Source organism: Homo sapiens, chromosome 2, assembly GCF_000001405.40.
Source record: "Homo sapiens chromosome 2, GRCh38.p14 Primary Assembly".
Classification (NCBI taxonomy): domain Eukaryota; kingdom Metazoa; phylum Chordata; class Mammalia; order Primates; family Hominidae; genus Homo; species Homo sapiens.
Genome location: NC_000002.12, coordinates 66,692,184 through 66,707,707, shown reverse-complemented (window position 1 = coordinate 66,707,707; position 15,524 = coordinate 66,692,184). Strand labels below are relative to the sequence as shown.

At 36.6% G+C, this 15,524-nt stretch overlaps 2 long non-coding RNA genes across 3 annotated transcripts in view; one reads left to right on the top strand and one right to left on the bottom strand.

Moving 5' to 3' along the window:
• The first annotated feature begins 4,480 nt into the window (after positions 1 to 4,480).
• On the top strand, positions 4,481 to 10,678 carry LINC01797 (long intergenic non-protein coding RNA 1797). 2 transcript variants are annotated; one of them, NR_110265.1, is made up of 3 exons: positions 4,481 to 4,590; positions 7,600 to 7,797; positions 10,413 to 10,678. It is a non-coding gene; the product is annotated as a long intergenic non-protein coding RNA 1797 (long non-coding RNA). The 2 variants fall into 2 exon arrangements; NR_110264.1 differs by having other exon boundaries at positions 7,314 to 7,797.
• Positions 10,679 to 12,119: 1,441 nt separating this feature from the next.
• LINC01798 (long intergenic non-protein coding RNA 1798) overlaps positions 12,120 to 15,524 on the bottom strand; it is a 121,559-nt gene continuing 118,154 nt past the window's right edge. Inside the window, exon 6 of the long non-coding RNA NR_110156.1 lies at positions 12,120 to 12,505. This is a non-coding gene — a long non-coding RNA (long intergenic non-protein coding RNA 1798). The remainder of the gene's footprint in view (positions 12,506 to 15,524) is intronic.

Sequence of the window (15,524 nt, the reverse complement as noted above, 5' to 3'; positions counted from 1 at the left end):
TTTTTTTACATGGCTAACTAACTTAATAGCACCTAGAATTACAGGTGCATCAACTTTTAATGTTATCCATTTTCAAATCTATTTGTTTTAATATCCTGCTTTATTTCACATATTCCTTAAGGGAACTTGGAATTTTTCACCTTTTTAATAGAATATGTATTAGTTATCTTTGCTGCATAAAAAATTACCTCAAAGCTTAGCTCAAGACAACAAATACTTATAATCTCACATTTGTGTGTGGGGGGGGGGGGCGGGGGGGACTCATGACCAGGTGCAGCTTAGCAGGGCAATTCTGGTTCAGGATCTTTCATGAGATTATAGTCAAGCTCTCAAATTGCAGTCATCTCAAGATCCAAGGAGCTAGAAATTGGCTCCTATGCTCAGTCACATGGCTGGTGGCATGCCACAGCTCCTCACTGGCTGTTTGCTGGAGGCCTCTGCTCCTCACCTCATGGGCCTCTCCATAGAATTGCTTCCAACAGGGAAGCTGTGTCCCCCAGAGTGAGAGATGCAAAAGAGACAAGAAGAAAGATGTCCAAAACAGAAGCAACAATACCATCACTCTTCCTGAATTATACTGGTCACACAGACCAGCCTTGGCATAATGTGGGAGGGGACCACACAAGGGTATGAACACCAAGAGAAGTGGATGATTTGGATTTTATGTTGAAACTGTGGAATCTTGGAGACTAACTACCACATATATAATTTTTATGAGGATCTGAAATATGTACCTAATAATCTTCTGCTGAAAACTCCTTCATGTGCTGCCACTTAGAAAAGAGTTTACCATTACCAAGTAAATTTGAATATTCCCACATCTTACAAGTGAGTAACTCCACTCCTAGGTCTAACTTCCTAAAGAAAGTCTTTATATAGACACCGGGGTGTATATATAGAAAGTCTCCTATAGGGGCACATGTACAAGAATGTTCTATATAGCAGGCTTTGTGATAGCAATAAATAAATAACAGTCCAGATGTCCATCAATAGAAAAAATAATAGCAAAGTAAATTGTAGGATGTTGATATCATAAAATACTATTCAGCATGACACTGAATGAACTACAGTGCATGCATCAATCCAGCTGCATCTGCTGAGTGCAAAACACAGAATATAAAATATATATCAATTACATTACTATAATATTCATAAAAGACAAAACCAAATAACATACTGTTTAGTGGTACATTTATAAGAACTAAAATTATAAAGTAAAGCAAGTATACGATGATTCAAAGGCCAGGAGAACAGTAACGCGCTGGAGAGAGAGATGGGAATGTGCCCAGAAAGGCCTGCAGAGACTTCTAAGAAAGTGGCAACCTTTCATTTTATAACCTGGGATGGTGAGTATAGAGGTGCTCACCTTACATTTTTAAGTCTACATAAATAAATGTTTTTACTCTCTTCAATAACTACTTGAAAAAACCACACCATGTGGTAAAAATATTCAATAATATTTGCAACATGAAAATAGTAGTCAACACATTAAGCACTTACTATACGACAGGCACTGTGATAAGCATGTTGAGTGATGGTTTTTCATTTAATTCTCACCACAGGTAAAAGGCAAAAATTACTCTTTTTTTCCTCATTTGCCAGATGAAAAAATTTAATCTTTAATAAATGAAAACACTTGCCCAGGGTGAGACAGCCAGCATGTCATGGAGCTGGGATTCAAACTCAGGCAAGATAGTTCTGGAGCTAACTTTCCTGATGGCTAAGTTTACACTTGGGTTCGTTCCTACACGTAATTCCATGTGTAAAATGATGAAATGAAGCACTGAATCATGGAAGTGTTGGAATTATATCTGAAATAGATAAACTGGTCCTTGCACAGGTGAATGGACATTCTCACAAGCTCTCAAGACTTCTCCATCTCTTTCCACTGTTCCCTGATGATGAAATCCTCCTCACCTTTCTATCAGGATTTCAGGTGCCTCTCTTATAAACACCAACCAAATAAGAAGACACATTTTTAGAGCACCTAGTATAAGCCAGGCTCTCATCTAAGTGCAAGATACATGAACTCTCATCTAAGTGCTAGATGCATTAACTCATTTGATCCTCATAACCACTCACTACACTGAATGTTACTATGGTACCCATTTTACAGATGAGATAGCAGGTCCCAAGAAAACTGTTTCCAGCCATTACACATCTTATAAATGGCAGCACCAGCATTTAAACCCAGACATTCCAGATCCAGAGCTTATGATCTTAACCGCTAATATACTGTCTCCCATAAGATATTACGTTTAGAGTAAGGACAGATAAGAGAAAAGCAGGCTCCTTTCCTAATGGAATGCTGTATGGAATATAGATGTTCTCTATCAAACGAAATGCTTGAAAGGATTTCTGTTCTCAGATTTTCTTATGATGTCAGAAAAAATGTAACGTGTGCTAGGAAAAAAATGTATCATGGTTTTATCTTGGAGACAGTAAGAACACTATAATTGCACTTCAGTTTTTAATTTAATTTTGTTACAAGTTCACTGCCTTTATTATCTTAAGCTAACAGGAGTTAATTCAACTAGTTAACAACATTACAGTCATTTGATTCACATTTGCTCTAAGTCATTTTTAGGAGTGAGGAAAGATATTTTATATATTAATCTAAATTTGGGAGGCTCCCACTACATGTGAGGCCCTAGAACAAAAGATATTAAGTTTAAAAAAACATAGTCCCTCCCCACAGCAGTCCACAGCCTAGTGGTAGACAAATAATTACCATGCATATGATTGTTATCAACATACTAGGTTCTAAAACAGAGGAATGCATTCTAGAAGTGACTGTCTCAATTTATGCTGCCTTTAAAAAAAAAGTGTCTTTTGAACTGAGCCATGCAAGATAAATGTACTTTTGCTACATGGAAATTGAAAGGAAGGGCATTCCTGATAGAGAGAGCACAGCACAGTCAAAAGTCTGGAGAAATAAAAGAACATCATATGTATAATTTTTTGCTGCTAGAGTGGAAATTGCTTAGAGGGTCATGGTGGAAAATGACTCTGGAAAGGGCAGTTGGAGGAAAATAATGAAAGCCTTTTCCTGATTCAATAGTTCGACCTGAGGGCAATAGGGAGTCTTAAAGATTTTTAAGCAGGAAATTATCATGTTTATTATTTATTTTATTCTGTAATCCAGAGGGGCTGGATTATGGAAGGAGGAGCCTCACTGCAGAAACAGCAGCCTGAAGGCTATTTTAATAGTTCTGTCAAACATTACCAACAATCTGAACTAGACAACCTTATAAAATAAATAATATTTTAGACTCCATTTTACAGATGAAAAAAAATCAAGGCGCAGAGGAGTAAAGTAACTTGTCCAGCACTGCACAGCTGGTAAACAGGGAAGTCAGGGTTCAAACCCAGGTGGTCAGACTGTAATGCCTCCTGCACAGGTCACTTCTCTGCCAGGTTGGATAATAATCATGACAGGTGAAAAAAGGTAGGTAGTTAGAGAGCCTTAAGTTCGGACTACAGAATCGAGGGTACTCCCTCCCATTAAACATCACATGGATCACAGAGTAGAGACATGGCAGCTAGAGAATCAGTGAGTTCCGTTTCAGACATGTGGTCCAGAAGGTCTTTGAGAGACAGGCCCAGATGCCAGAGAGCTATTGAAAATGCCAAGGCTAGGCTCAGGAGAGTAGGGGCGGGAGAAAATCAACTGGCCATGGAAGATCACCACTACATAGACACCCTCCCACCCAAGACACTCATCCTGAAGATGCAGAACCTGAGGCTATGGAGAGGCAGCTCAGAAGACAGCCCTCTGCAGCCAAAACCACTTTCAAATTCTGGGCTTCCATGTGTGTTCTGGATTAAGTTTCTTTACTTTTCAAATCGGAGGGTTTTTTTCATTTATAAGATTGAGACTATAGAGTAGTACATCACTTACCACTTGTAAAGACAAAAATTAATATATATCTTAAGTTCCTAGTACATTGCTTACCAAAAGTAAGTGCTTGATAAACGATACATAATGATTATTATCATTATTGTTATCATTTCAGAGATTTGTCAAAAATGAGGCTCTAGTGTAGGTGTAACACACTGGGCTCCCAGCCCAATTACTTTCTTGGCAATTTTTTTCCATAAAATGTTCTTAATTACCTGGAATTATCACTAACTTTTCAACCGAGGAAAAGAAAAAAAGAAGCCCCTTTTGAGGAACATGAATTAGCATTTTTTAAAAATCTATTCTCTATTAGCCAAAAAGAATAACCTAGAGAAATCAGATTACAATTAGATATACATGTATACAATAAAATACAAAACATTGCTCGGAAACAAATCGAGTGACACATTTTCCTGGAGTCTGAAATGACCCAGACGAATCTGTGGTGTGACTCATTGCATCTAAAGAAGAATCAGGCAGTGATTCTGTCAAGTGTGATAGAAAGGACCTTCTCAGCCATGGTCATCTTGCCCAGGATTTTCCATGGTGACATTATCTGTGGTCACAATGGGTACATCCCCCAAGAAGGGTGGTCTTCCAGGAGTCACTGAAAATTTCAAGAAGTGAAAATCCAACAGAAAATATTTGAACCCAGGAATAAAATAGAAGCCTGGAAGACTGAAGGATATGTAAGCATTTATTTGTCACTTTGTCATTCCTCCTTTAGAGGTATTTTTCTTGGGGATTCAATGTGGTCAGTAAGAATACAGTTATACAGTCAAAAACTTTGGGACTGAAAAATTACAGTAGAGAAGACTTTCTAGTAAAATGACTTCAGTTCATATCACTGATATACACACACACACACAGGTCAAAACACAAACACACTTAAGAAAAAAAGACATTGGAAATAAATTAAATTTATTGTTTAACTTGATTGCCTTTAAGATAATACATTTGGTAAGGATGTGAATATAAGCAACGTGGAAAAAATAAAATAAACGAAGAGGAAGCAGTGCCAATCTCATCCATTAGAAATAAGGGGAGATGTTTCAAGGCAAAATTCCTCCTTCTGCACTAAGGATTCTTGGTCTTTTGAGTTCAGTTCTCTGAACAGGGCTGCAGAGCCTCAGACTCCGCTAGTTCTCCCTCCTTTCAAGCCCCTATCTCTGCCCCTGCTTATCTGAATATATAGGCCTGCCCTTTGCTCAGATTTATGGGTCCAGCAAGGGCTGTGTGTATTTACTGTGTTCTGACCTGAAGACCCCAGGCTGAAGGAGAAGAGGAGGAAACTGGGACCCATTCCATAAACAGAGACAGATCTGAGGGGGAGGTAAAAGGCTTTGCTAGCACTTAACATTTTTAACTATTTGGCCAAAGCTTACGAATTACCGATTAGATTAGAGTACAAGAAAAACGAAAGACGTCGGTGGAGATATGGAGAGAGTAAATTGTATATTTTTGCTCTAGGCTAGTTGCTTGGAGGCTCTGGGTTTGGGGGTGGGGGTGTGGTTAAATTTAATATGAAAGGTCAGAAAGAAAATTGATAAGTCAGTTACAGAGGGAGTTATAAAATGCTTTGGGAAGACAAAAATGAGGATATAAACAACATTTAATAAGTTGGAAAATTTCTCCAACCACAAGTTAAGCTCCTTGTGTGAAGCAAGATTCGTTGCATTTTTTAAACTGTAATTGGTTATAGAAGAAAAATCCCCTGCTCTATGTTTAAATGAGAACACATTGCCATAGACGACCAAAAGCCAATAATTAAGGGTTTAAATATTTTTCTTAGAGCCTGGTGACCCACTTGAAAGCATCTGTTTTCAAACAGGGCTGCTTTGTAAATGGGCCACCAGTATGTAAAGCAACTGGTCCATCTGTAAGGTGCATGCACCAGTTCAAATGGGAAATAAAAAGCACTTACATCTTGAGCAGTGCTTAGCACCCCAAAATGAATCCGTCTTCCTCAGGGCCATATGTTTGTGTACCAGCAAAATGTGAAAGCACCACTTTTATTTGGAGCCATTCTCAAATGATCTACTTACTGGAAAAACTTGAGTTCATGTGGGAAAACCCTTACCTACCAACTGACTACATCAGAAATAATCTAGCATCATATGTAAAGTCTACAATATTCAATAGAGAACTCAAAAACAAAGCAACTAGGATAAGACAGTAAGTGAATCCTCCACAAATCAATTTACATTACAATGGAGCAAAAACGTGTAATATACATGGCTGAGGCTGTGATTAGAAAATTTGTGAAATATCATCAAATTGCTTCTTTTTACTCATTTCAATATAAAGCAACTGTGTTCCCATGATGTCATCTGTTAAAGCTATAATGATCTACTACGGTGATGATATTGTGTGACTGGAACATTTTGTTTCAACTAAAATATGTTGTGGATAATAAAGAGTGTTATTACAGTCCATTCTAAGTGGACCTGTGTGACTTAGATTGAATTAATAATTGCATGAGAAAATACATGTGCTTCACATTGTGTGTGGCACTTTAGAAATGTTAACCTGTTTATTTATATTATTATTAAAGTCATTTGTCAGAAAATCAAAAGTAAAATTAATTCTATAACTGAACTTTTAAAAAATGTATAATACAAAAAGCATATAAATGCATTTTCTTTTCCATTTATGTGTGCTATTTTATGCAGAAAATTAAACATAAAATTCTGAGCAGTCAAGTTAAAGAAGGCATTTGATTATTACATCAGTATAAGCTGACTACGGAACAGTGGAAACTTGGGCAAAAAATGATGAATGGGAAAGAGCTATCCTAACAAGGTTGCATTTCTAAAGTAAAATGAAATATGTGACATAGTATTCTAGAAAACTAATATCTTTACTGCTATCTCTTTTGAACTTTTCCTCTAAAATAGTAAAACTTCTGCTTTGTAAATAATGCATGCTCAAAACAGATGCAACTGCATGCAGACTGTTTAGAAGAATTTTTGGAGCTATTACATCGTAGCTAAAATGCTTCCCTGTGTCATTTCTGTTGAGATCCATTTGCCAGTGAAATAATTTTTTTTTTTTTAAATGGTGTGGATCATAGCAGCAATGGGTTCAGATGTAACCGTTTCAGAGCAGAGGTCTAGCTCAGTATGCCAGAAAAAAAAAAAAGAAAAAAGAAAAGAAAAGAAAAGAAAAGAAAACCCACCACAAAGAACATTGAGATGAATGGCTCTATTTTATGAGCCATAAAAGTTTTATCCATCTTGACACTGAAACAGGTTTAGGCAGTGAGTTGACACGCCTTAAATAAATAAGTGGAATTAATTCCCCAGCCCTTGAAACAATAGCAGCATGCATGTAGCACGGAGAAATGCCCCATTGTTTCCCTGTGGCTGCCTGATATTGATATTATTTGTGTTTTTCTGTGCTGCTTCCTCAGGGGCCTGGTTGATCCACTTCAGATTCATCCCCTGTTTTATTAGAGGTTGAAAAAGGTTCAAGACCTGGTTGTACCACAGCTCCCACCGACAGCTAAGGAACCAGTTTGGCGTCTGGTTTGTCTGTTGTTTTACTGCTGACCTTCAAATCAACTTTAACCCCTGACCTCTGGAGGCATCTATCATGACAAGAGGCTGTTTAACACAAATGGTGCCCATTTATAGGGGAAGAGACTCTGAAGATTTCCTTTTTATGAAGAATTTAGTTTTTCACCCCTCTTTTCTCAGTCACCACAGGTGAAATCCCTCTCAGCAGCTGGCTTATGAAATAATGTGAAGGGAGGCCTTAATGAGCAGAACGCACCCTCAGCTGGAGATAAATATATGCAAATGAGATGCACAAACAAAGAAGCCTGGACAGAGAAATATCTGCAATTCCAGCAAAATGCTGCCTGCAGCTCGAAGATGAACAGCTTTGATAAAATGGTAACAAAAAGCACCTTTTTATCCTCCAGCGTGTTTTACATTGCAATAGACCATTGTCATTGCAACCCAGTGGAGCATGCAGAGGTTTTCTGCACTGTTTCAGAAAACTGTTTAAACATTTGTTTTAAGGCATTCATGAAATATAATCAATGAACTGCTTCTTTGTTGTTGTTGTGATTTTTTTTTTTCCCTGAGTGTGTTTTAGATGTTACTGTAGTTATTTTACCTGTTGGTCTTTTCGTGGTTTAATGTTGCTGGCTTGCTGTGCTAGTTCATGTTTTGGTGACTGTTTCTTCCACTAGTGAGAATGATTTTTTTTTTTTTTTTTACATTTCAATGGAAAGAGATTTCAAGTTAATAACTAGTAAGAATCGGCTTTGAGCAGCACCCGAACAACTCGTTTTAATGATGGCAATCAAGTGTGAGAGCTAATTCAGAGACAGGCATGTTAACATGCTGATTTTAATAAGCTTTAAAAAGGCAATCTCTAACTTTTAAAAGTCTCTTTTTAATTTAATTGTTCTTGGTTCATATGATGCCAAAACAAACAAAACCATTAAAATATGTTTTCAATATGTATCCACGGTGTTATCTGATGATGTTCTAAATTAGCATCATGTTGGTAAAATAATGATTTGATAAGCTTTAAAAATGGAAAAGCTGGAATTATTGACCTAGTTAGAGGAAAAAGCAACATTTTTTCCTAAAAATGAACAAAGCCCCAGCCCCAAGATCTCAAACCAGAGAAAGGCTGGGCTCACGACATGTAAATTGCTGCTTTTGAGCATGTGTATTATGTTTAAGTAAATTGTCAAAGCAGCTAAGGTGAGAGAAGAAACACTATGTGCTTCACATGTGTCAAAATACTATCACTCTAAAAGCTCAGCAATATTTGGTTCTTTCATTTATAACGCAACCCTAGCATTCTGCAGCAAGAGATGTACAAGGACCTTTACATTTCCTTTACCTAAATTATTTCATCTTGGTAGCTAGGATTGGAGTGGAGACATTCTTCTGAGTACTGTGTAGCTTTCACATTTTATGTGCATTTCATCAGGCAAATGTCAAATTTGCTAATAACAAGAAAATCTCATCATTTTTAATCATGCCACTCCTGTTGCATGGGGTGGGGTGTGGGGTGGGGGATGGACGCAAGCAGGGGGCGGAGGAGGAAGCGTAAAAGCATTGAGCAGTCTGACCAAAGAGAAGAAGGAGAAAAATGCTGTTTGGATTTTTAAATGACACATGCTTGGTTATCTCAATGCCTGTATCAGTGCATCATTAAATTCAGAATTTCAGGAGTTAATAGAAAGTTGGTTATATTAGGGATGCTTTTTCAAACCCAGCTTCGAAGCAGCATAATTATGTTCAACTGCTGTTGTTTGGAAAGGGCAAACAGCATCTTAGGCACAGAACAATGAAATTACAGCTGAGATTTAGGTTAGCAAAAGCCGTCTTCTCTAGGCTTTTATGATTCATTATTTCCCATTAAATACAGTATTGGAAGTGTACACTAGATAGCTCATGGTTGCTGCTCTCGGAGCACATTATCTATATTACACAGGTCTGGGGAGCAGAATTAGAAAACTTTGGGGGAATGAGCAATATGTGTTTGCTGATAGAAGTACCATATGGCTCATCTTCTTCAATTGCTTTCATTGCGACTCTGATGCTGGAGAAATTAAAGTTTTATTTGATGTGGCACAGCTTAATGAACTGTCTTCTGTTAGGAAAATTGAATATGTTTCCTGTTATTTGAGCACAGAGCCTCCATGGTTTGGCTGATGAGGGATGCATTATGTATTGTTTATTTAGCATTTTGAAAACAAAAGCAAGATATTGAAGGTAAAATTGATTACTGCTGGATTGCATTATATGATCAAGTTTTCTCCCTTTAAATTTCCCTTTACAATCCTTTTGTAATGTTTTAATGTGAGATTGTTCCAGCTTTTTGTTTTTCAAAGGTACACAGAACTTGGTTTTATTAAAATACCTTTATTTGTAAACGAGCCACATGAAACTGTGAAGCCAGTATTGCTATATTTATAAAGTTCTAAGAACGATGTTTGGAAAAAAAGAAAATAATTCAATTTGTATGAATCTAATTGCAAAACTTCTAGTGAACCCCCAATCAGTTCTGAGAGAATCTAATGTTTGGCTAGTTGAAAGGGGGATGTCATTTTCTTTTGTTTGAAATAGACCACTTAAGAACATGCTGGGGTGGGGCCATAAGATAAGGAAGACACTTTTAATATTCGGAAATACAAACCTAAAAATATCGTTTTAAAATTTTGAGTTAGTCATCAGTGAATAAGAAGCTGTATTCGGCCTGCAGATTAAAGAAAATAAAGTGTAGATCTCATGAATTTAAATTTTTAGTGAATAAATAGGATTACAATATGCTTACATGCTGAGAAAACTGGGATGTCAACCCGTGTGAATGTTCTCTACTCCCTGAAGAATCTATGAGAGAATATATTTAAAATTTTGTTTAATTTCCTTGTTTTTGTTCTGGTTCTGATTGTTTTTGAAAAATAAGAAATCTAAATAATCTCTAAAAAGACTAAATGTAAAATCATCTTCTAATCACTACATTTCTTTCTTTCATTTTTCAGTGAGAAATATTACCACGCGTGCTGATGCCTCAGACACACCAATCTGCAACAAGCAACTAGGATAAAAAATAGTTAAAAGTGAATCAACATTTATCTGGAATATACAGTCCTGACCCCCTTACGCACTCCCCCCCACCCCCCTCCCCGCAACACACAAAGTCATTTGTCTTCTATGTCCTGTGATGTTTTGAGGATTCTGGCAAATATGGCAGTTAAACAAACTTCTAGCACAATCTAAATACAGTCTGTTCAAGAGAGGCTTCCAATGTTTATAGACCATAAGTAAAGAAAAAAAAAATCTGGTATTTAACCAAGAATAGTGCTCTTGAAAATGTCTCAGAACAAAGTGTTTAAGCAAAACTTTGGCCATAGATATTCTCCATTCCTCATTCTTTGCTGATTTTTTTTTCAATGAGGACTTTTTATATGCCATCAGTTTGCTTCTTCTTCTTCTTCTTCTTTTTTTTTTTTTTTTTGAAATTAACAAACTAATTTTAAAAATCAACACCTGACTGGGGACCTGGTCATACAAACTTCCTTTAGATACAGTTGAGAAGAAAACATCACATTTTTATGAAGCCCCTCTCCTGACAGGGGACTGGAGGAGGAACACCATTATGCATTGTTATCAGCGTGGTGTAATTTGACTGTTGACAAAGTATCCGTGGCAGTGCGAATGAGCGCAGTTAGAAGTGTGGCGGATTGTAATCAAGAAGATGCTTAGCTGTGCAACACTGCATCTCGAGCAGATTTGAATCAACATTGCCTTAAGGGGACACACACACATACCAAAAGAAAAAAAATCCATTAATTTTTAGAGGGAAAATTAGAGTGGCACTTGATGAAGTGAAATTTGACATGCGTTAATTGGTGTGCAGCTCTCCTAATTAGAGATTTTCAAATTCTTTTACTGCTGTCACCATGATGGCACATTGTCTTGCTGGACAAATACTAAAATTGCAAATTGGCTTGATCAGGAAGTTTTACGTATGAAGATAACACTGTATCCTCTAGTCCACTTCCAAAAGGTGGACAGCTGGAGAGCAAAGATGACTTTCAGCTTTACCTTCACCCCAGATTAAAAAAAAAAGGATTATTAAAATAGTTTCATTATGAGACTTAATGTAAAGGAAGCAGGTGCTGATACAATTTTCTTAAACAGATGGAAACGTTTCTTTGATACTCATGCTTCTGCTTCATATGAAATATTTCAGGTAGAAAAAGAAAGCCAGTGAAATGCTACATTATATATATACACTCTCATATTTCTCCTTATATTCTTCAGAAATTGGAGTTAGGTGGATTTTTTGAAAGCTCATGTCACATTTTTCCCTGCTCTGAGATCTAAGGCACTCCAGTTCCCCTTCTTGTCTTAAAGTAATTATACTGATGTTTGGCCTCCAGGATGGCACCAAATATGATACCACAATAATTTTTGTTTCCTTTTTCCAACTCGTCTTGTCTAGCCCTTGAACCTCTCTTAATTCATTAACATATTGAATTTTTTCAATTTTCCATTTTCTTGCAATAACAATATTAATGCCGGGGTGAAAGCTTGATTGGAGCTAAATTACTTGTTACCTGCTGGCATTTATTTATATGGCATTGAATTATAAAGCTTTGCTATTGTCATGCCTTGGGCGAATTGTTTATGACACCAGTAATAGGAGTAATTGTTATTGTTGAAATTACCTGTCAGCTACCCATAGCAGTGGCCCTTGTCCCACTGACAAATAGTGACAAGGGAGAGGTATCCTCCATGCGTCCCCCTGATGGCTTCTCCTCTGATAATAAGAAGTGCAGGGCCTCTGATAATTTGCCTGTCACTGTTGAGTGCAGCTCAGAGAGAGTTGGCCAAATTGTTGTCATTCACTTTGACAAAGACAGCAAAATGCTCCCGTGCAAGAGGAGGATTATCAAAATAAATGAAATAGCTTACACCCCCTTTGTTTGGCTCAAGAATTGCCTGGCTTTGTATGAGGTTGTGAAATCAAGGTCCAGTTCTTATCGATGTGCCTCTGCTCATTCTAAGATGAGGATCCCAGGGAAGGAAAGGCACCTTAGAAGACTCGCCATTTTGCAGCTTGCATCGGCTAGTAAAAAATTACATTCAAATGTAAAGGGAAAGTCAATAAAATTGTAATGAGTCTAATATGTCATTAAATACATTAATTTAAAACACATCTAAAATTTACACCTTTTCTTTCCTGCCTTCCATTTGTCCCTCTGATTCTTTTTGGCCCACACAGACATTCAAATTCAATAAGCATTCAAAAATGCACAGGTTTCTCATTTGCAATCAAGTTTTCTTTGAAAGTTTAGAAATCTCCATCTCTGACTCTTACAGCTTTAAAAGATTATCTAGTTGGATTTAGGACTATTATTTCAGATGGTTGGTTCCTTTCCATACATTACCTTTTATTTATATACTATCTTCATGAGTAAAGAGATAAATGAAACATAGTTCCAGGTATGAAGCATCAATTATCACAGGCTTACAGAGGAAGCAAAATGGGCCTGTTATTGCCAGAGTGCAAATATGAATGTAAACCTTTGCATTTTAAAATCCCTTGGTTGCAGCCTGTGAACCTGTCATAGAGGGGGAAAGGGACAAGGAGCAGCAGGGATGGTGTCGTGGAGTGTCCCTGTCTGAAAGAAGTGGGCTTGAAACGAATCAAACCTTTGCTCTTGTAAAAACCAGAATCATTCCCACCTTTCCACAAAAGGCATCATTTCATGGTAGGAAAATTCTTATTTTTAAGGTGCCTGGGAGGCTATTACTCATATATCTTCTTGACAAATACTTCCTGTTATAAGAACTTAAAAAGAAAAGGAAAAAATAACTAGGATAAATGTAAAATATTGGCTCCATATAGGACAGTAATCAGCTGTTTATTGGTCTCTACTAGACAAGTAATGACCAACCACAGTGTTAAGTACCAGCAACATTGCCTTGGGCCCTTGCCTCCCAACACCAGCCATTATCTGATTAGAGAACCTCCAAAGAAGTCACTATTGCATAATTTTATGGGTCTTAACAGCGCAGGTTGGCTGGCAGAAAAACTACCTAGGAGGGTTGATAAAGCAACAGTGAAACATGATTTTATTTACTTCACACTTACACCTTGGTCTCTGAAAGAGTACCTGAGTATCTCAGATGCTGGTGGCTACACAAGAAACCTAAAATCAATTCAAATAGGAATTGCGTGGGACATGGGGGAGGTGGAGGAGGGGGACAAGAAAAGTAAAATTATCTGTCTCTTAAAGCTTTTCATGGACTGCATAGTTTGAAGTAGTGAACAACATTGTTATAGGCATCTCAATCCTTTCTTAGGTGTTATGTATTTAAAGCAGGTAAATAGGGTTTTAGCAGTGCTAAAACCATACATGCAATATGATTATAGGAATAAAATGTGTTTCTAATCCTTAATGATAATGTATTCTTCTAAAGACAACCACTGCATGGTTAACTATGTTGAATGTCCCTGATTAACAAGTGGAAGGCAGTGACACAATTAAGAGGTTATCTGTAGTAATAAAAATGCTCAAACCTGTCTTGGAATGTGATCCCTTTAACAGATAATTTTTAAGAATGCATGTCCTTGCTTTCTCTGTGGAGACACACGTTAGTGATCCCAGGAGGGGAAATAAACATACGTTTTTAAATGAAGATATTTAAAATGTACCCCATATTTCAGCATGTTGCTGTAACCTGGTCTTTTTTATGTTCCTCCTATAAAACCTAAATTAAGCCTCTTAGGAGTGGTTTTGCTGCAGGTTTCAACTAAAAACACAATACATTTTAAATGGTTCCAGTACTTGAGTGCACTTTAACATGTAATCACTAATGTGCATTCTCTTCCTCTCTCTTCCAAGCACCAGTCCTTCTAAAAGGATGAGACTTCTTTAAAATTTAGCTTCATTTGAAATGTAAACTTTTAACAAATAGTAATTGCTTCTGTAGCTCTATTGATGAAGTGACTGGCAGCAAATCTTTTCTTTCTTTTTTTTCCCCCCTCTCTCTGTAACATTTTGAAATACCCATCAGTGTCAAAGAAAACTGCACACGCCTCCTTTGGTGCTCTAAATAAGGCTCAGCAATGTTAAGAAAAATGTCAGAAAAAGCTCAGTGGATTAAAGGAACATTTCTGCATCATGTCAAGGAGGATGGCAGGGCAGACTGGTCTGCATAATTTTGAAAGATATTTTTTGTAAAACGCGTACTCTTATGAACCAAATGAAATTTTATTTGGAAAGATTTGATATTGTATTTGATAACATACAACCTTCAGTTGTTTTTCTAAATCTTGTTATTTTTTAAATATGTCTTTGGTATGTATTCTTTACATTAGAACTGTAATACACTCATCTTTTGGTAGAATGTTCCTGTACCCGGGTGCAGCGTTAAAATACATTTCAGACTCTTTCATGCATTTTTCTTTTCTTTCTAAAATTCTTGGAATGTTCACTCAGCGGAAGCAGTGAAAATGCTCGGCTCTTCCACATGCAAATTTATTGAACTAGTCAGTCATTTTTCCCCTTAAATAAAATGTGTGTATAGTTTTGGAGATTTTCAAAAAATAAATCATTTACATGCATTTGTGTATTAAAAATAAATTGCTGGTGTGATGTTTTTAGTTTGTTTTGTTCTATTTTACTAAAGAATATGCAATAGTCACAAAATAGTGCAACGACAGTAAAATATTCCACAGTATTGTAACTACGTAATTAAAACAACGTCAGAAAACACCTTACAAATTTAATACTAGATACCACCAGAAATGGCAAGATTAGTTTTACAGAAACAAGGTAAGTCTCAGCTGATTTTAAATATAAACTTTTCCAAAACAGGTTAAAAATGAATTTAGACAAATTTGGCTCTTAACCTTTAAAGATTTCCTGCCCGCTTCTGTATGTCCTTTATTACATTAATTTTTTATTTAAATTACACCATTAACTGGATATGAATTTATCAAGAATACATGTATTGATTTATAAAACAGTACCATTAATTATTATAATAGCTAGATGTAGCTGATATTACAAAGCCATTTAAAGGTTTTTAATATAACTTGGACATACATAGATAGATAGACATTATGGACAAGACTA